Source organism: Homo sapiens, chromosome 5 (assembly GCF_000001405.40).
Source record: "Homo sapiens chromosome 5, GRCh38.p14 Primary Assembly".
Taxonomy (NCBI): domain Eukaryota; kingdom Metazoa; phylum Chordata; class Mammalia; order Primates; family Hominidae; genus Homo; species Homo sapiens.
The window spans coordinates 39207337-39228980 of NC_000005.10; the positions used below are offsets into that span (position 1 = coordinate 39207337).

General features: G+C 40.4%; 1 protein-coding gene across 16 annotated transcripts in view, besides 1 other annotated feature; it reads right to left on the reverse strand.

Annotated features, from left to right (window-relative positions):
* The window catches only part of FYB1 (FYN binding protein 1), a 169277-nt gene that overhangs the window by 102085 nt on the left and 45548 nt on the right, over positions 1-21644 (reverse strand). For 2 of the 16 annotated variants that reach the window (NM_199335.5, NM_001465.6), the window contains exon 1: positions 12107-12227. The exons of 8 other annotated variants lie outside the window; for them this stretch is intronic. Coding sequence is in view for 3 of the 8 variants with exons in the window: in XM_011514008.3 (XP_011512310.1) it covers positions 1528-1530 (3 nt within the window). In the remaining 5 variants the exon portion in view is untranslated. Of the gene's footprint in view, positions 1-1527; positions 1629-3721; positions 3756-5341; positions 5682-12106; positions 12228-21644 lie in introns of those variants that run through there. 6 more of the 16 variants (XM_011514008.3, XM_011514009.1, XM_047417071.1 and 3 more) reach the window with 6 other exon arrangements.
* Positions 13303-13804: an enhancer, noted in NCBI's record as "H3K27ac hESC enhancer chr5:39220741-39221242 (GRCh37/hg19 assembly coordinates)". NCBI's record gives its function as "activates a minimal SCP1, AML or CMV promoter by ChIP-STARR-seq in primed H9 embryonic stem cells {active_cell/tissue: H9 hESC(primed)}" and the evidence as "EXISTENCE:reporter gene assay evidence [ECO:0000049][PMID:30033119]".

Consider the following 21644-nt stretch of genomic DNA (forward strand, 5'->3'; position numbering starts at 1 on the left):
CTTTAGCCCCCATATATTTTGCCTTTCCTCAGAATTATGTCTCTTCAGTGGTATAAACTTTTACATTTGCCACAGACCTTGGGAAAATGTCTGTTAACAAAAATGCTTTCGTTACAACCTCCAGATTGACAGTTAACAAACCCAGTTTTCAGAAAATCTTTTTGAGTTTTAGCAATCTGCATAAAAGTAATGAACCAAGTAAACAGTTAAAGGCTGAGATGGCATGAAGGACAGACATCCCATCTTTTCTGTTCCTAGAAAGAAAATCGTCCCTTTTGTAGTCAGTTCATCTACATAGTTTCATTTGGAAAACTAAAAATATATTATCTCTATTATTAGGAACAGGATTTTGTTTTGTTTTAGTTTTATTGTTATATTACTCATGGTTTTAAATATTTCTTGGATATTATGCTAATCTACTGGTTCTTAACTGGGGTGTGGGGGTGGGCCGGGGAATTTCCCCCCTGGGGATGTTTATCAATGTCTGGAAGCATTTTTGACGAAAATGACCAGCCAGGGAAGGGGTTGGGTAGAGGCCAGGGATGCTGCACATCTGTCCTATACGAGAGCCTCCCACAAGAAAGAATTATCAGTCCAAAATGTGGATAGTGCCAAGATTGAGAAACCCTGAGCTAATTCTATTGCTCTTGAATTACTGAAATTAACTTACCAGGAAGTCTGCTTTTAATTTTTTTTTACCATAGACTACACTCTAACACCTACAAATAACTGTATAGAAACTAAATGAGCCACTACTAGCAATGGTTTTTAAAGTTGCCCACCTTTGAAAGTCTCATCTTTAGAACGTTCTTTAAAATACAAAAGAAACAAAACTTCCATAAATCATGGGAAACTAATGAATTTAAAATGACTTGGAAGCCAGGTTTTACCTCCTTAAGATATGTTTGTGTCACTTTTGCAATTAAAGCAAGAGGAGAATGAATCTCTGCTGTGGCTGCTGTTACTCTTCCCTATATAAAGCCCATAAAAAAGGGAATAAAATGACTTCATTTGATTGCATGTAATGCTTCTAATCATGGTGGAGGCAGTAAATGAATAAAATAGTTTACCCAAATCGGTTTTTCAAAAAATCTTTGATAATTTTTTACCATACGTGGAGTTTCTTTATTGTTAGTTATGTTGAGATAAAGTCGTTTGTTACCCATGACTTACTTATTCGGTCTCAACTGCTGGTTCTTCTTATGGAACAAAATTTGTTTCTGCCACTGCCATCATTACCCATGATAGGACCCCAGTACAGTGACATCAGAGGACAACAAGAGGCTGTGAGGGCGATCATGAGTACAAGAGAAACGGTTCCAGAAAGCCAGCCCTCGTCCTGCCTAAGGCTTCGGAGATTGCAGCCAGGGCGGGTGAAGACGGTGTGCTGGTTAGGAGACCCAGGTTCTGTGGGGGTGATGCCTTTTGTTACTCAAACTTAGGACCTGCTCTACAAAGGCCTGACCAGGAGGTGTAACAAAAAGACTGAGGAGACAGAATGTTCTCCCCTAAGCTGGAGAAACTTACCATCCTTGAGGCAGGAAGCACACTGGCAAAAATTTGTAATAGATTCAAGCAATTCAAATTTTTATAGAGCAATAGGATTCTGCATTACTGGTTTGCATCGCCTAGATTAAAGAAAATAACACATATGACCCCCATGACCAAGCCCTCCATCCCTTCTCATCACACACAACACACACACAATGCGCACACACACACACACACAGTGTTTTCTCTTTAAAGAGACTTGATCTGTTGTACCCAGTAAACCTGGAAAAGGGAATGGTCTTAATCTGAAAATAAACTTTCATAAAACTCTTTACTATTAGAAATTACCTCAAAACTACTCCGACTTAAGAGTTAACGGTTGCTGGCTGAAAATACAGTACTCCTGACGAGACCCTTCACAAGCATCGTAGATAACAAGCTCCTCTATCGATAATAGAACAGCAGTGATCTTTTTTATCCCGATTAACACTGTTTAAATATGTTTTTTTTTTTTTTTGAGACGGAGCCTCCCTCTATCACCCAGGCTGGAGTGCAGTAGCGCGATCTTGGCTCACTGCAATCTCTGCCTCCTGGGTTCAAGCGATTCTCGTGCCTCAGCCTCCGAGCAGGTGGGACTACAGGCATGCACCACCACGCCTGGCTAATTTTTGTATTTTTAATAGAGATGGGGTCTCACCATGTTGGCCAGGCTGGTCTTGAACTCCTGACCACAGGTGATCCACCACCTGCCTCAGCCTCCCAAAGTGCTGGGATTACAGGCGTGAGCCACCGCACCCGGCCTATTTAGATTCTTAATGAATTATAATTTACATGTGTGTTCTCTGTTTCCCTAAGGAGATGTAAAAGCAGGAACCTGGTTTTATTTTTCCTCCTCAACAGCAATTCCCTCCCCGGCAAACAAGCAGACACATCCCTGATCCTGGCGCATCTCTTTCCATAATATGCATTGAACGTACTGGCTGATGGACTGCGTTTACTTAAATTTCACCTTGATTGGTCATACAGATGGGAGTGGAGGAGATGATTTTCTTAGCTCCTTTGTTGACCTGCAGTTGTGATTTAAGCACTTGCCAATTGAATATCTATTTCATTGCAAATGGGCTGTGATGCATTCCAGTGGGCTGAGCCTCGGAGGCTGGAGAGAGCACCAGGCCCCTCTTCAACAGGATGTGGGAACTTGACTCTCGCCGCAAATTAAGTTCTTGGGGCGGGAGCCCTTTGCTGCAGGCTCTGGGCGAAGGCATGGGTAGGAGGACCTGGTGGCGGAAGCAGCGGTGGTAGCCCTGATTGTGACAACCCCTGTATGTTTTTCAGTAACTTGTGAAGGTGGAGGTGGAACTGCAACAACCCCAGCGATGCCCTGTCTGCTATGGCCTTGCATTGTGAGGTGTCATGTGGAAGGAAACACCTGACTTAAATGGGGACTTTCTGGGTGGTGTGTGTGCCCCGCCAGGTCCCCTCGGACCTTGGCAGAAAAACCACCACAGATATCGCTGTGCATTATCTCCTGGTCTGGTGTTATTCCGAGCACTGATGATCCGGATCCTTCTCCTGTTTCTACTGTGTTCTCTCTTCCAGAGTGAATTAGAGCAGAAGAAGCAAGATAGCCTAGCAAGTAGTAAAGCTTTGATGGTGATGGTCCACCTCCCAAATGCTGGCGCCTTGTATTCTCTATAAGGCATGTGCATCAGTTGGATTTTTGTGTACCCCCTGTTTTTAGAATCAGGAGCGGGACAATCATCATCATTCTACAAATTCGAACCTTCAATGTTCTTTTCCTGGTTATCCTACAAAATAGCTCCTGTACAAATAGTTTTGACTTTGCCATGGCCTCTGAGGGCTTAAGCATAAATGGATAAGGAAGTTAAATACGACTTTCTAGCCAGGCATGATAGTGCATTCCTGTGGTCCTAGCTACTCAGGAGGCTGATGTGGGAAGACCGCTTGAGCCCAAGGGTTTGAGTTCATCCTAAGCAACGTGGCGAGAGCCTGTCTCTAGTATAAATACATACATATAAATATATATGAGTTTCTATGTGTTTCTGAGGTTTGTTTTGCTATATGTTTTTGAGTTCTTGATGTGGATAGAATGGCGATAGGATGTAGAGAATATAGAGTGAGATGTAGATAGTACAGAACAACAAATGGTCCTAAAACCACTTATTTTTCTTATTCTATTTTACAATTTTTTATAGCAAATTTAACTTACATTTGTTTAGGATAATTCACTCAGCCTGCATGACCTGAAAATACCAAATTAGAAAACAGTTTTTCAGGAATTTACATTTTGACTAACGAACTTGTAGATAATTGAAAAATGTTTTCATAGATATCTTATTAGTGGCTTATTTGGTTCTTAGGCTAATAGTTGATGTACACTTCATAATACAATATAAGTTCTTTCATTTTTTCTGTTCCTCCAACCTCAAAGAGAGACCTAAATTTCAGCTACTATTTCTTTTTCTTTTCTTTTCTTTTTTTTTTTTTTTTGAGACGGAGTCTCGCTCTGTCGCCCAGGCTGCAGTGCAGTGGCGCGATCTCGGCCCACTGCAAGCTCCGCCTCCCAGGTTCACGCCATTCTCCTGCCTCAGCCTCTCCGAGTAGCTGGAACTACAGGCGCCCGCCACCACGCCTGGCTAATTTTTTGTATTTTTAGCAGAGACAGGGTTTCACCGTGGTTTAGATCTCCTGACCTCTTGATCCGCCTGCCTCGGCCTCCCAAAGTGCTGGGATTATAAGCGTGAGCCACTGCGCCCGGCCTATTTCTTATGGTTGTTCTATTTTCATGTACACCCCAACAAAAACTTTATTTTGCTAAGGACATTTGAAGTCTGAAATAAAAATCTTTGATGTCTGGGAAAGATACTGTTTGTCAAGCGAAAAATAGAAATGTTATGCTTTATTTTTTCCCTCAGCCTTCGTGTCACTCCCAACAAACACGAAAACATAGACAGACACAGACACACGCTCCTGGGTGGTAAATTTCTTTTCTACACTCAACATGATGTTAGAAACTGAAAGCTTATTGTCTACATGGAGTGAAGTGGGGGTGGAGGAATGAGGCTATCTGTGGGGTTTTCTAGAGACTTCCTTCCCAGCATGTGAAAAGATCTGTGTGAAAACTGCTAAGAAGAGGAAGAACTCAACGAGCTAACCAAGACAGGTGGCAGCAGCTGGGCACAATGGGTGGCTCAGGCCTGTAATCCCAGCAATTGGAGAAGCTGAGGCAGGAGGATTGCTTGAGGCCAGGTGATTGAGGCTAGCCTGGGCAACAAAGCAAGACCTCATTTCTACAAAAGAATATGCAATATTAGCCAGGCACAGTGGTGAGTGCCTGTAGTCCTAGCTACTCTGGAGGCTGGGGTGGGATGATTGCTTGAGCCCGGGAGGTCAAGGCTGCAGTGAGCCATGAATGCACCACTGTACTCTAGCCTGGGTGACAGAGCAAGACCTTGTCTCAAAAAAATAAAAAATAAAAAATAAAAAAAGGCATGTGGCAGCTTCTAGTCAATGAGAGATCCAGAGTTCGATTTGAGGAAAGTGAAAGCTATACATTAGAAATGGAAAGCTATGGAAGATTCCACAAAGAGAAATAGATAATATTTTGAAACCTTACTCTAAGGAATATGACAATGTGGGATATCCTCCCTGCCCTCAACCCTCCCCCTTGTTCCCATTCCATTTCTTCTCCTTTAGAGCTTTGAAGAAAACGCATTTGGTATTTAGTAATCAGGATTAAACAATATAAGCACATCACACCTCTTAGCTCACTTTTTCTGATAACTGCACAGAAACAAGACTCTGTCATAAGATGAGCATCTTTTCTCACCTTTGTTATAATGGTGCTCTTCACTTTGGGTTGCGCTTTTTCTCATTAAAATTGTGATGTTTTCAATTTCAAGTTTTCCATGGTGTTCACCCTGCTCTTAGCACTCAGCCACTCTCTTTTCCCAGGCACGCTTCTCTTTCCAAAGCACTTCATGGCTTCAGCTGCTCTGGGCTCTCACTTGTCCATTCATTCATGGATTCATTCATTTTCTTCTGAGTGTTCTAGAGACTCCTTGCTTATGTGCTAAATCTAGTGTGTGGCACTTTTCCATGATCTAGATTAACATCTGTGCTTTACTAAAAGTGCTTTTCTTGGCGAACAAATCACCTTTACACGCCCCCTGCCAAAAAAAAAAAAAACCCAACTCTACATATACTCATATAATTATCAAGAAATTCTAGAGTTTAGTAGTTTATACCCATTCCTAATTTCATTATTAAACTAATAATCACATTTTAAAATAACATTTCACATATAATATCTCATTTGATCCTCCCAAAGCCCAATTAGTTTTTAGTGTTATTAATATATAACCTTAAACTGAGTCACCTAAGCTTTAGCAAGTGGTAGGATGAGAACCAAACCCAGGTTCTGATTCTAAATTCTGTGCTCACCCTATATGCCATAGGAACCAGAGTTTTCATTGTCTTTGTCATATAGTTACTAGTTTAAGTTCTCAGCTCACACACAAAACTTTTTAGCAGTTTCTTATTCTAATCCAAAATGTTTTCCACCTAACTCTAGAAATTGACCTCCTGTCCAAGAATCCCTTGTCATTGCAAGGGATGTGATAACATTTGTCCTACTTATGGTTGTGATCCTGGCAGATCTGAGATGAGCAAGGAAACAGAGCAAGGCATGGGGTTTATAGGGCTCAAGGCCAAAACATCCTGATTGACTTTGCAACATCGTGGGCAATCTGAAAGGGGAAACAACTAAGAGAAGACAAACAATTCCGTTTGTTTGAAAAAACATTTAGTCTCTGTGTGTGTGTTGGTGTGGGGGTGAGGTGTTTAGGTAGATGACTATATTAGGGCTTTTTTAGCCCAACCCTGGCTCCAAACAGCTGCCCCTTAGAGTTGGTTACATGAACCATCTAACTGGTAGTTTAGGGGCCCAGGACACCATTCTGGTTCATTCATTGTCTGCCTGAGATGGTGATTATCGTTCATTTGGCTGCAGCCTCAAACTTATTACCAGGGGTGGTTGAAGAGGGGCATAAACAGATACTACGGGAGAAAGAAGTTATAATTTGGGAAGTCCCATGGCAAAAATCAGATTGATAACAATGCATTTATATATAACAACTTCGTCTGAATGAAAAAGTGAAAAAAGTGTTAACATCTTTCGTTAGTTCAAAGAACAACAAAAAATGAAACACACCAAAACCCTTTCCTGTGTTATGCTTTTCTACATACTAAATGGTTTTCAAAAGAAAGTACCACAGAGAGAGTCATCTATTATTTCTAGACAGAATTTTCTTTTAGTTAAAAATGTAAACCAAAATGAGATACTACTTCACATCCATTTGAATGGCTATAATTTAAAAAAAGCAGAAAATAACGAGTGTTGGACAGGATTTGGGGAAATTGAATGCTTGTGCACTGCTGGTGGGAACATAAAATGGTACAGCTGCTATAGAAAACAGTATGGTGGTTATTCAAAAAATTAAGCATAGAATGACCAAATGATCCAACAATTCCACTTCTGGTGTATACCCAAAAGAACTGAAAGCAGGGACTTGAGCAGATATGGGTAGATCCCATGTTTATAGTAGCATAATTTACAATACCAAAAGGTGGAAGCAAACCAAGTGTCTGTTGACAGATAGAGGGATAAACAAAATGAGGTTTATAATACAATGGAATGTTATTCAGTCTTAAAAAGGAAGGAAATTCTGACATTCAAGGAGAAACCTTGAAGACATTACGCCAAGTGAAATAAGCCAGTCACGAAACAACAAGTATTGGCTGGGTGCTGTGGCTCATGCCTGTAATCCCAGCATTTTGGGATGCCAAGGCAGGCAGATCACTTGAGGTCAGGAGTTTGGGACCAGCCTGGCCAACATGGTGAAAACCCATCTCTACTAAAAATACAAAAATTAGCCAGGCATGATGGTGCAAGCCTGTAATCCCAGGTTACTTGGGAGGCTGAGGCAGGATAATCACCTGAACCTGGGAGGCGGAGGTTGCAGTGAGCCAAGATCGCACCACTGCACTCCAGTCTGGGCAACAGAGCGAGATTCTGTGTCAAAAAAAAAATATTGTGTGATTTCACTTATATGATGTACCTAGAGTAGTCAAATTCATAAAGGCAGAAAGTAGAATGGTGGTTGCCAGGGGCTGGAGGGAGGAGGGAACAGGCAATTAATGTTTAATGGATATAGAGTTACAGTTGGGAAAGAAGAAAACGTTCCTGAAATCAATAGTGGCAATGTTTGCGCAACAATGCGAATGTATGTAATGCCACATTTTACCCTTAAAAATGGTTAAAATGGCACATTTTATATTATGTATATTTTACCATAATTAAAAATTCAATAAGAATGTTAAAAAAGGTGTTTGAAGAATTATAAATTTAAATTAAATGTAACAGTGGATCAATGTCAAACATCTAATATGAATAAAATAATAAAAAATCCATTTGAGAAATATAAACACAACTCTCACTGACTACTTTTTTTTTGACTGATAGGGTAAATAAAAATATTTTGAGTGGTTTTCATTGCGATGACGATGGGGAAATGATGAGAAGCACATTGTGTGGTAGGATCACCCTGGGGGAAGTTTTTTTAAAGCAGCACTTGCTGTGTGGTCCAACCCACCCTGCTGTGCTCCTCTCAGGGATCTTTGGGGAGACTCACCAGCCCAGCCAGCCAGGGGTGCAAGGGGGAGGGTGTGGCATCCTGTGGTGTATTCAGAAGCAAACATTATTAAAAACCAGTGGAATCCTGGATCTGTCTTATCCTCACATTTTTCTTGATCAATTACTACCAAAAGAGTGGCAGAAATTCAGTGGCAAGGATTGGGGCACCTTTTGGTGGAGGTACCCTGATTTAGCACGAGTGAATGGGATTGGAATGCAGATGTTGGTTGCTTGTCTATAAATTATGCCCATGTATATGCCAAAAAGATACGCCCATGTATCAGAACCTGTGAATGTGACCTTATTTGGAAAAAAGGTCTTTGCAGGTGTAATTAAGGATCATGCAACGGAATCATTCTGGGTTATGTAGGTAGCACTACATCCAATGACAAGTGTCCTTATAAGATAGAGAAGAAGAGACAGCAGAAGAGGAGAGGGCCATTTTACAAGAGAGGTAGAGGTTTTAGTGATGCAACCACAAGCCATGGAATCCCTGGAACCACCAGAAGCTGGAAGAGGCCAGAAACGAATCCTCCCCTAGAGCCTCCAGAGGGAACATGGTTCTACTGACACCTTGAGTTTAGACTTCTGGCCTCCAAAACTGAGGGAGAATAGATTTCTGTTGTTGTAAGCTGCCTAGTTTGTGGTACTTTGTTACAGAAACCACAGGAAAATAATACACGCCCTTACAAAACTCCCAAATTAAACTTTTTTCGTGTGTGTGTATAATACGATTTTTAATATTGCATATATTTATATTAGCATATATTAGAAATCTCTAATATAAAAATAGTGGTATGCATGTTGTTAAAATTCTACCCGCAGCTCCCTCCTTTGTTCACTCTTTTGTTTATTTGTTTTTAAATTTTATTTTAAGTTCTTTCTGGGATACATGTGCGGGATGTGCAGGTTTGTTACACAGGTAAATGCATGCCATGGTGGCTTACTGCACCTCTCAACCCATCACCTAGGTATCAGGCCCCACATGCATTAGCTATTTATCATGATGCTCTCTCTCCCCCTGCCCTGCAACAGGCCCCAGTGTGTGTCGTTCCCCTCCCTGTGTTTGTGCTGGATTTCTATAAATATCCAACAGTCTATGTGGATGAAGTTTAGGAAGAAGGGAAGAAAGACTGTTTCATGATTATTTTTTGCTGCACCACCATTTGTTGCCATATTAGAGGTGACATCCCAGCTGGGATTATCCCTGGCTTGGAAAGACTGAGTTAGGCATTGGTCACAGGCAGCATGTGAATTTGGTGGCATTTCACCTGCACTTAGAAGCAAAGTCATCCACTGCTCTGACCAACTCACAAGGCGCAGGCTGCAGCAACGTGATTAACAAGGTTATGTATTGAATTTATATAGCTAAATGATTTTCCTGGTTTCTTATCTGTTTAGAGAGGCTGATTAGCAGAGGTAGAAAAACAAGACAACCACTGAGCTTTCCAAATTTATCAGAGAAACCCCAGACCAGCTTCTGATGGGGAAATATTCCTTGACTTCCAGAGCTTCCCACTGGATTTTCATTCCTGCCCAAAGACATTCTTGGTTTATTCCTAGTGACCAATAGAGAGCATTCCAACAATCACTTCTTATCAGTCAGCAACTATATAATAAACACCTGGGACATGCTTGGCCCTGGGCTTTGGTAAAAAGAAAGGAGACAAATGGGCCTTAAAGGTAGAACAATTTCAATTAGAAGCCTGTACAAGGTTTAGAACACAACGTTTGAGAAAGGAAAAAATCCTTAAACATTAGCGAACCAAGGTCCTTCATTTTACAAAAAAGAAACTGCGTAAGGGATCTGTCCAGGTTCACACAGTTGGGCTAAAATCTGGGTCTCTCCCTTGCTCATCCTCTGAGCTTTCCACTGCGCTATGCTGTCTGACCTGTGGGGTGCCAGCTTCTGCAGCAGCTTGCTCTTAAAAAACAGTCACAACAAGAACAGAGGGCAACCCCGATTGCCTTCTGGGCCAGGTGCTGTGCTAGGAGCTTTTCAGGGATCACCTCAAAACAGGTCAATGGAGACGTTACTGTTATCCCCATTTGACAGATAAAGAAACTGAGTCATGGAACCATTTAGGAACTCACCCAAGGCCCACAGCTGGTGCGTGGCAGAGACCACCTTCAAGCTCAGGATCTTGATTCTGGAGTCACAGTCTTAACCGCAACCCCTGGAACCACAGCCCAAACCCGCCAGCGAGCCACGGTTCACTCTCTTCACTTTCTTGTTTTTAGAAATGTTCCTGTAGAGCAGCCTCTAGTAACACCTCAGACAAATGAAATATCATTTCTACATCCCTGATCTCTCTCTCTTGTTAACGTATTGTGTAAATGGTGGAAAATGTGGTTTTTAAAGCACATTGAGGCTGGTAAAAGCTTCAAAGCCACCGCCTGCACTTACTCTTTAGACCACTAGATGTCAGTGTGATTGCTCTATGAAGCAGCCGTAACTTGGCAAGGTGCAGCATTGCACCAGAAATCAGCTGCTGCGAGCTTCCAAGCCTCTGGACTCCAGCAGAAGCTGGGGGGAATTTGAAGCCCAATGGTAGTAAACAAATAATGGACATGACAGTCAGGCAGTGTGGATTTCAACCTTTACAATAATTTCTCAAGGGAAATGGAAACCTTTTTAGCCTTTCCTTTTTGAAACGGATGGTCAACTTTTCCACGGGGTGCCTTAAGTGCACCATAACGCCTTTGATATTCAGGATCGCCTTTAATGGTACATCATAAAACATGTGGTTTTATTGGAAAGAGCACCCTTATCCTCCTCCCCCTCACCTATCACTTATGATTAATTTCTTAAGGTATCGGACTATTTGAAGTGTGTGTATCTCACATTGCATGGGGACGTTTTACTCTACCTAAAACCTCCGGTGGCATTCCCATAGCATGGGCAGAAAATCACAGCCACAACTTCACCCTTCCGGTGATAAGCCCATCTGTTTCCCACGCAGAATTATTTGTATTTAATGAAAAAATATTTAAAATGGTGAATATTAATTATTATTTTACATTAGTACTCAAAAAGTGTATATAGTTTTATCCCCTCAACAACTCCATGAGATGAGTTCTATTATTATCCCCATGTTTAGATGAGAAAACTGAGACACAGAGAGGTTAAGTGGCTCTCCCAAAGTCACACAGCTAATAGAAGGCAGAGTCAGAGGCCCATTTCTATTAATTACTTCCCTGCAAATCAAGTTAAATGGGGGGAAAAGACCTTGTGAATTTTTCAGAAGAATCAGCAATGTATACAAGACAGCCAAAGGCTCCGAGGAAAATTTGGAGTTGCTGGTTGCTTTGAAAGGCCTCCTTGGCTGATCTGCAGCTGTTTGTCATCATTTATCCAGTTTGCCAGGATTCCTTCTGAGAAGGCATAATTCATGGCAGTATAGTCCCTTTCTTTAGTCTATGTAGAAATCTCATGTGAATCCTCACCTCCTGCCAGGTTTGGAGGAAATTGAAAGTTACTCTTTCTCATCAAAAGGATGGACACATATTTGTTAGGAACCAGGATGAAATAAACCATCTGTGCCCAGCTCTGTTGGCAATAAAACCTTGTTTCTGGTTTCACTGCAAGACGTTATTTAACGCTAGTGGCACCAGAGGTTCCAACAAGAACACATGAGAGGCCTTATCCAGTTACGAAAGAGCAAGTGACAGACACGTTCCCGGCCACATTTTTATCTGCTTATCATCCTTTTGGCTACCATGAGGCTGAGTTTTAGTGTCTCCTGTTCATCTCTTTTGCTATTTTCCAACAGAACATGCGTTTCCTTCAGTTATTCAGCTAGCACAGTCTGTGCTGCCAGAATTTGGAAGTGGTGCTTTTTTCCTGCTATAAAAAATTACACATTTATTTGAAAGAAGAAACCTAGGCATAGCTGTTACCTGACTCCTGCAGAAGAAGGCGGAAGGATGGCCTCCTTTAGTGGATCTTCCTGGGCCAGGGTCTGGGCCCTACTCACTTCTAGCTGTCGCATCTGCTCTGCATGTGGAACTCAAGAACTGCGGAGCTTTCTGATGCCTGGCAGGGTTTTGTCCCGGTCAGTGGTTGAGTGAGCCACACCTCCCTCCCCTGACCAGGCAAACTTAGACAAGAAAAGTTCTATTATGCCCTCAGGATATTGAGTAATAAGGAGGAGAAAGGGGAACTTAAAAGTGTCTGTTCAGCCTGGATACTTCTGCTAACATTCCCACCAAGCATGTGATATTTAAAAGGGTAAAACCAAAACAAGATTCTCCTGCCTGCCACCATGTTTATTCAAGAGGAAGAAGCTGTAAGTTCTTTGGACCCATAATCTTTCCACACACCCAGGAGTGTCACCTGCAATGGGGGCCAAAGGGGGATGCTTACAATTAGAAAGGTCCACTGGAGCATGTGGAATATTTGGAAGCTAATTGCACCTGAGGTCAGGAGGTAAAGTGGTGTGCTTGACCATATCAACTGAAGAGTGGTCACTCATGTGTGGAAAGCCCACTAGACTCACTCTGTCGGCTCTCTGTTAGACTATTCTTGAGGCTGGAAGAAATGGAGTATTTAGATGATAATCCATGTGAAAAGACCACCAGTGGGGCTGAGTGTAGTGGGTCATGCCTGTAATCCCGGTACTTTGGAAGGCTGAGGCAGGAGGATTGCTTGAGACCAGGAGTTCAAGACCAGTCTTGACAACATGGTGAGACCCTGTCTCTACAAAAATAAAAAAAAAATTAGCCAAGTGTGATGGTGCATGCCTGTAGCCCCAGACATTTGGGAAGCTGAGGTGGGAGGATTTCTTGAGCACAGGAGTTCAAGGCTTCAGTGAGCTATGATTGCACCACCATTGCACTCCAGCCTGGGTAACAGAGCAAGATCCTGTCTGAAGGAAAAAAAAAAAAGAAGAAAGAAAGAAAGAAAAATAAAGAGAAGGAAAGAAAGAAAGAAACTCAAAAAAGAAAAGAGAAAAAAAGAAAAGAAAAGACAAGAAAAGAAAAGAAACCCCCCAAAACAGAGGCTACCATTGGGACTAAATGAGATTTTAACAAATTGTGATTGTGAAATTAACCTCCCCCACCTTCCTTCTACTCATTCATTCATAAACATCAAACACTTACTGTGTGGGTCAAGCACTGGCCAAGACTAGAAAGATGGAGAAGACAAGGATTTTCCACTCAGTGGCTTATAATCTTACAGACGTTATGCCAGAGATGGTCACTTTCCTCCCCGTATGATTTTCCCTTCTTATAGAGTAGTAGGGTCAGCAAACTATGGCCCGCATGCCAAATCTGGCCTGTGGAATGTTTTGTACAGACCTCAGGCTAAGAATTTACATTTTTTAAGAATTGTAAGAAAAGGGAGAAGAAGCAAAAGAAGACAATGATGGTAACAATGATGATGACAACAATGATGATGACATGGCTGAGACCGTATATGGCCTGAAATATTTACTATCTAGTCCTCTGCAGAAAAAGTTTGCCAAAAGTTTAGGATGCTTATTCTATCCTAAGAGATCTCTGGCTTTTTACCTGGCCCACAGCTACACAGGATAAGGCATTTTCTAGTCCCTCTTGACATTAGATTTGGCCATGTGGTTAAGTTTTAGTCAATGGGATCTATGCAGAAGGGATCTATGTAGCTTCTTGGTGTGTCCTAAAAGAGGGCCCCATCATGCTTTCCCCTCCCAGCTGGCTGGGATGCTGTGGGGGCCTGAGCTCTTCTGATCCAGTGATGACTAAGGTAATACTCTAGGCATGACAGAGCCAGGAGATAGAAGGACCTGGCCCCCAACACAGGAGACAACCCCATCTTCACTGGATTTTGCTAGATGGTTATAAAGAAGGGAACAGGAGGACAGACATTTAACTTTTAAAAATCAGTGTTATGTTGTGTCTCTTTTGCTGCAACCAAACATGTATTATAACCACTATAGAGATAGACACTGTATAACTAACCATGACACACTGTGATGAGTATTAAGCTCAAAGTATGAATAAAGGCATCTGGAAATACCCAGGAATATGTAATTCCTTCTGCATGGGGGCAGAAGAGTTGAGGAAGACTTTACCTAACATGGGACAGTTGATCTTGGGCCATGAAGGAAGCCTAACTGGAATTTGGGATTACTTGTTTTTCTTCTCCTCTCTGCCAACCTCTCTCAGATGGCCAAAACAAAATAAAATAATCCACTGGGTGAGGTGGCTCACGCCTATAATCCCAGCACTTTGGGAGGCCTAGGAGGGTAGGTCACCTGAGGTCAGGAGTTCGAGACTAGCTTGGCCAGCATGGTGAAACCCTGTTTCTACTAAAAAATCCAAAAATTAGCTGGGCGTGGTGGTGGTGCATACCTGTAATTCCAGCTACTCAGGAGGCTGAGGCAGGAGAATTGCTGGAACAAAGGAGGCGGAGGTTGCAGTGAGCTGAGATTGCACCATTGCACTCCAGCCCGGGCCAACAAGAGCAAGACTCTGTCTCAAAAATAAAATAAAATAAAATAAAGTAAAATAAAATAAAATAAAATAAAATGAAATAATCCTCCAAAAGCAAGCAACACGCCCTGTCTTCATGGAATGTACTGCCCCCTCTCCTTTTTCACCTGGCTAACTCCTGCTTATGCTCCAAAACCCAGTGTAGATATGATCTCCTTTTGAACTTTGTCCCACAAGACTGGGTAAGGCCTTCTGAGCTCTGGCGTCTTGTACTCTCTCTTAGTTGTTGGAGATATGTCTGTGTTTCTCACTAGATCATGAGTTCCTTAAGGGTTGGCGGTAACTGTGGCTTATTTGTCCTGGATTTCCAGCTTGTAGTACATTGCCAGGCATACAGAAGGCACTTTATAAACATTAATTAATGTATTAGAGGCCAAGGGCAGCTTCCTGGTTTGTGGGACTCTTGCTCTTTTTTAATGCATTTGTCCCACTAAAGGGAAGGTGAGCCCAGCAATTTATATCTCTCAGCCTCTGTGTCCTAAAAGTATATACATTTTTAAAAGTTTGCTTTCCAAAAAGGCAGAAAAGAAATGTACACATTTAGAAAGTTTTAGTTTAAAAAACTGAAAGTTTCATTTGTTATGAATGGTCTCTATGCTTAGTAGTGTCTGAAAGGTTTGAAGATTTAATAAAAACAACTAAAATGCTATGAGGTGAGTTTAGTAACATGATGGTATGTTTCCGAAATAAGCGGAAGTATAGATACTTGCTCAAATTTATCTTATTTTGAGCTTTTCTTATTATTACATAATAATAAACACCCATTTTTCTATTTTTATAAAATCTTTGCTCACAAAGGAAAATTTGTGCAGTAATATTATTTGATTACAACAAGATGATGATGCTGATAATTACATTTGATTCTCCCCTTGTCACTCTGTGTTATGTGTCTTATAATCAATAAAAGAGGGAGAGGAACAACAAACACTGAGGCCTGTTGGGGGAGGGCAATGGAGGGGAGAGCATCAGGAAAAATAGCTAATGCATGCCAGGCTTAATACCCAGGTGATGGGTTGATAAGTACAGCAAACCACCATGGCACACGTTAACCTATGTAACACACCTGCACATCCTGCACATGTACCCTGGAACTTAAAATAAAATAAAATAAAATTTAAAAATAAAAAATAAAAAAATAAAAGCAAAAGCATTGCTTTTCATGCAAACCTATTTTACTACATGCTTTGGCTACAGGCAACCAATTTTCTGAACTGGAGAATTAATGTAAGACTTTTAAGACACCGTATAGTAGTAGTATTTTCCCCTATCATTTAGAGGAAAATATAAAAATATGAGGAGCATATTTTCCTTTATGTATAGTCCTCCTTGAGATGGTGTTGACAGAAGGTGAAGTTGAAAAGAATTACTTGCATTATGTTTCTAAAGGAAACCAGTAATGTAATATTAAGTTATTATTTGAATATGAAGTTTTCATTATTTTTGTGGCTATTCACTAAAGGCCTTCATAAATTACAGGGAAACCTGAGCAATTAAATTTAAAAAAATCATTCAAATGCTTCTTAAATAAAGTTTTTGGTCTTAACATCTGCTACAGAATCAAGCTAACACCTCAGTGCTTCTGGATATTTATTAAATGTTTAGGGCTTCCATTCCCCCATGCAAGAGTAATTCTAAGCAAATGATGAATGTCTCAATGAGTAGCTCATTCTTTGTGGACGTAAAAACTAGGTTTCCACTTCTCTATCTGGTGCAGCTCTGTTGTGCAATACAAGGAGATAAAACCCTAGGTAAGAGAATTAGAGTGGGGGTGGGTGTAGTAGAGATGGAGAAGGTCAGCTTATTCTCAACTCACTACTCCCAGTATCAAATATCCATTTCAGATATAAGAATTTCTGTCTTTATACCCCAGCCCAAATTTTCTACTGTCCCTATCTCATCCCACACTCCCCTCTTCTCCAGGTGGAGAAACCCTATCCTGTGCTGTCTGCTCAGTATAATGATGACTTTGAGGTGTCAGCCTGTTCATGCCTATCACTTGTCAATGTGCTTGCTTCTCTGTCCTCTAAATTAAATACTGTACTTATTGTTGTACTTACTAGCAATTATATTTTTCCACAATTAAAAAAATGATGAAGTTAATATTCTCAAAGGAGTAAATAACACGAAACCGATGGCCATTCCAGCCATCTTTCAAGGAAAGGTGATCTGGTTCTGGTGGCCAAGCCAGCTCTGCTGTGCCAGATAAAAGCCTCCAGTGACTTACTCAGAAAACAAATCATGAATGTGTTTGAAAGTGAAATGATTTGGCCTCCAGTCAGCCTTTAGCACAGTCCTGACGGTTTCCCTTACTACAGGGATTAAGCGTCCTGTGAAAACAGATGGGGGAGGGCTGCCACCTTCTGCTTGCTCACCCAGGGAGTGGCCTCCCAAGCTTCGCCACTGCTCCAGACAGCAGCAGATGAAGCTCTGAGGAGTCCACGCCTTTCTGGAAGCTTGTTGTTGCCCTGCCAACATATATTGACTTGTCAAGAGCTCTGTCTTTAAGCCAATCACATCCTGATCACAGTTCATTAAAGGTGTGTATTCCTCTAGAGAGCTCATTGTCTGTTGTCAGAAATCACTCAGTGCCCAAACACATTAGGATGAGAATGGACTGTGTAGGAGAGAAGAAAAGAAATGGGTTCTGCTTATTTTCTTTGACTTTAACAGCTACTTCCCCTTACTCAACTCAACACTCATGTACACATATCAGAGAAGCATTACGATCTGCAAGCTGCAGGACTGGCTCCTATTTAATGTGTAAAAAGTGGCTTTTCTCTACTTTCCTCTCCCTAAATCCTTCTAACTTCAACCTCTTTCCTCTAACCTGCTCATTCTTCCTGCTTTCTTCCAAGTAGGAAACTACTTGGTTAACATCAGAGATTTTTCCACCTCCAAGCTTCTAAAATTCTAGAAATGCATTTATATTACGGAAAGTTATAAGGGACTTGAATACCTTCCAGAGGTTTTTGCTACATGGGGTTTTATTAGTGGACAAAACCTTATAAAAGATGTCAGCAATCTTTAAGAAGCAGAGGTATGAGAACAGTGTCTGCTTCCCCACTTCGCATCCTTTAGTCTCTTCCTGATTTTCTGCCATGCAGAAGAGTGGTCACTGAAGATTTTTGGTTTTGTATAGCTAGCAGTAAAATATATTTGAGTAAGCACTGCAAAAATGTGAATATTTATTAATGAACCCATATATATACATGTATGTATATATGTGTGTATGGTGTGTATGTGTCTGTTACAACATTTTAATTGACAGAGCATTAGGCTGGGAAGGCTCCAGAGTTTTAGGTTTTTATGTTAGCAAACCAAAGCCCAATATAAACAATAAGATAAACTTTACCAATTAGAATGGCCAACTAACATCTAAGTAAAGACTTTCCCAATCAGATACTGCCAACTAACCTCTAACTAGTCTTTTTGCTCTAAACAGTCAAATATATTTTCTTTGTCTTTTTTCTTAGTGCACTTATGAAAACTCACTGCCCATGCTGCTGGGGTGGAGCTTTCTGAACCTTTTGTGGTTCTGATGCTGCCCAATTCATGAATTGTTTTTTATTCAAATAAACTGCTAAATTCATCTTGTACGAAATTTTTCTTATAAAGTATGTTATGCATATACTTTAACCATTATAAAGTGCAAACAAAAATAGAAAATAAAGGAAGAGATTTTTAAAGTATAAGATTTCTAACAATTTCTCTTCATGCCCAATGAACTGTCTTGAACACTCCTCCTGAGATACTCATTTTATTTTGGAGGCAACTGATAAAAAAGAGTGGAGAGAGAAAATCATTGCACTAGAAGTAGGCAAAGCATACAGGGATCTTTCAACAAAACCATAATGTTCACCAGTGGTTGGTTCCACTTTTTTAATAGTGTTAACAAGTTCCTTTGCTCAGCATGCAAGTGTGCACCAAGCCCACAGTCTGATCCAAGGCTTATTTCGTCACAGCATTTTGCCCCAGCTGCAGGCCTCTCATGGGTCCCTGGTTCACAATTCTGAGGGTCTTACTGTTGCTCTCCTGGCTAGGTAACCACATAAGAGACATTTTCCCCTGAATGTCCAACAGGCACCATCTACACAAGACTGAAATGCGAGCTGAGGATTGGCTTTAGACTCCTTTCTCTGACTTACATGTTCATGTGTAACCAGCATGTCCTGTTGCTCCTGTCTCCCAAGTGTTGTTTGAATTCAGCCTTTTCCCTCCAGTCTCAGTGCACCAACTTCATCATTTCCTGCCTCTTTAACTGCAGTGGCTTCCGATAGAATTGTTCTGCCTCTAATCCTTTCTTTGCAGGGTTGTCAACATGATCTTCCTATGCTTAACTGGATGATATTTGCTTAAGCCTTTCACTAGCTTTCCAAACCTTTAAAAAAAAAAAAAATCAACTCTTTAAGAGTACATACAAGCGTTTCCTTCATCAGAGCTTACTACCTCTTCACTTGCATGTGGCATTGCTTTTGCTTCTCTCACTTCATGTCTTCTTCCACATTGTCTTACCCTTTGTTAATCCACCCTTTTTCAAATTCAGCTAGAATTTCACCTCCTCCATCAAAGTCTCCTCTGACCCTTTCAGAGTATGTATTGCATCGTATGATAGCATTCTACATCTTCATTCTACTAGATCTTGTCAGGGGTAGAGTTCACTTTCTTATTTTCATGGGTGTGTTTAGAATAGTAGTTCTCAAACTTTAGTGTTCATAAAAATAACCAGAGGAGATTAAAGTGCAGATTCCAGATTTAGTAGGTTTAGGGTGGTGCCAGGCAAACTGCTATTGTAACTAGCTCCCTCCTCCAAGTGACTTTCATTTATCATTCTTAGAGTTTAGTGCAGCATCAGGTGCTTAGGCCCTCAATAAATGTCAATAAAAGAAGGCATTCTCTATCTCTTATCTTTCCATGCCTAATAAGAAAATACACTAATATTGGCTGAGGCAAAAGCTATATTGACTACACATTTGTCTGTGGGACTTTTGATAGGCTATATCTGGGTGCAGAGAATAAAACTCACAGCATAAATCTGGTCTTCAGACCTGTTTTTGTTGCATCTCTGTGTGTGCAAACACACATACATTCACATAAATTCACACACACTCACATACGTTCATATAAATCCATTAAAAGTAGTTTGGAAAAGCATAAAATGATGGAGAAACTTGTCCAGATTAAAATATACCAAAAAGATATAAAAATCAAGTGTAATACATAACTCTTGGTTGGATTCTGGTTTGCACAAAAAAAAAGTTGATAAGATAATTTTGGTACAACTGGAGAAATTTCAATATGGGCAATTAAATGTTATGAAATTATTATTTTTCATAGGGGATGCCAATAGTATTATGGTTAAACTAGAGAATGTTCGTATTCTTAGGAGGTGCATGCTGAGATCTGTGAGAATGAATTGTCATTTGCACAACTTGTATTCAAGTGGCTTAGGAAATAATTTATATACACACATATGTGGCAACACATTAACAATTTGGTGTAAATCTAGATGAAAGGGATATAGATGTGTGCTGTGTTATTGTTTAAGCTTTTCTGTAGATTTTAATTTTTAAAAATGATAAAATATAAACACTAAAGTGAATTCATGTAATGATGGAAATTTCTAGCTTTCCATGCAAAGTCTGATTCTCTGATGCAACAATTTGCTGGAGCTCTGAAAAGCCTCCAGAGTTTGCCATAATGGCTTCCGTCATTGAAGTCACCTGCCTGAATCCAGTAGGCCTTTGGTTTGCAATCCATGGAAGAAAAAATTTCAACTCCTTAATAACACGCATAAAGCTTTCCTTCATCAGGCCTCATTGAGTCATGAGCTTTTGAAATTCTCCTCCTGATTCTCTTTATAGAATTGTTTTTCTTGAATCCCATAAGATTGACCCAAAATGTTTTTCACTGGGGAAGACCTTTCACCTTGAGAGGGCCAACTGGGAACTGGGAACAGAAGGCTTGGATAAGACATATATGCTGTTTCCATTCTTGACACACATATAAAGCCCAGTGCATCTCTCTAAGATCAATGATCAGATTGGAATAAGATGAAAGACTCAGAGGCAAAGGATAACTTTTAACAAGAGCAATAATATTATTTCCACCTTCTAGGATCTGGGGTCCTGGCCATACAAATCAGGATGAATAGAACTACATTTAGTTGGTAGATAGATAAGTAACCTCAAATGAAACACAGTGAAATCATGATAGAGACTGTCTTTGGGAAGCAAAGGCAAGAAATAGGCCTGAGGAACAATTATGACTGAATTTCAACTTTATATATAATGTTTATTCTTTTCGTATTAGAAAGACTTTAAGCAAAGATGACAAAATCTTTGCCAGTTCTTAGTGATGAATACATTGTTGTTTCTTATATATTCTGTTTCTTCTGTTTGTAAAATTTCTCAAAACAAACAAACCAAAATGTGTCTACCCCTCATGGGACAAAGATATCCACAAATATTTTGTACCATGGACATGCCAACTTTGGAAAAGTTGTCACCTATAGTAATGTGTTGTCAGTTTCTTTCCAGAACTGAAGGAAGTGGAAGTAGAATCATAAGCCTCCAGTTTTCTTGACTACTATTGAATATTAGGAATCATTGATTTTAATTTCAAATCACCAGGGTCAACATTTTTTGATACCGTATTTCCCCGTAATTCCCCAGTGGTTAAAGAAAGAGGTTAGCAAAAGAAAATCAAGACAAAAAAGTAGAAGATACTTCTTATATATGAACTTCCCTTCCTTTTTATTTTCTTACTCTGAGAGCTAATAAAGCAAGATCTCTGACTTATGATGTAATCTTTCCTCTTTTTTGGTTCTGAGAGCTAATAAATTTTAAAACACAATTAGAGTATTACAGTTGATGACCCCTTTGGGATTTTTACCTAAATACAGTTTTCTCTCACGATAAAATTAGGATGGTTCTTTTGTCCACTATAATTTTTTTGTAATGCATGG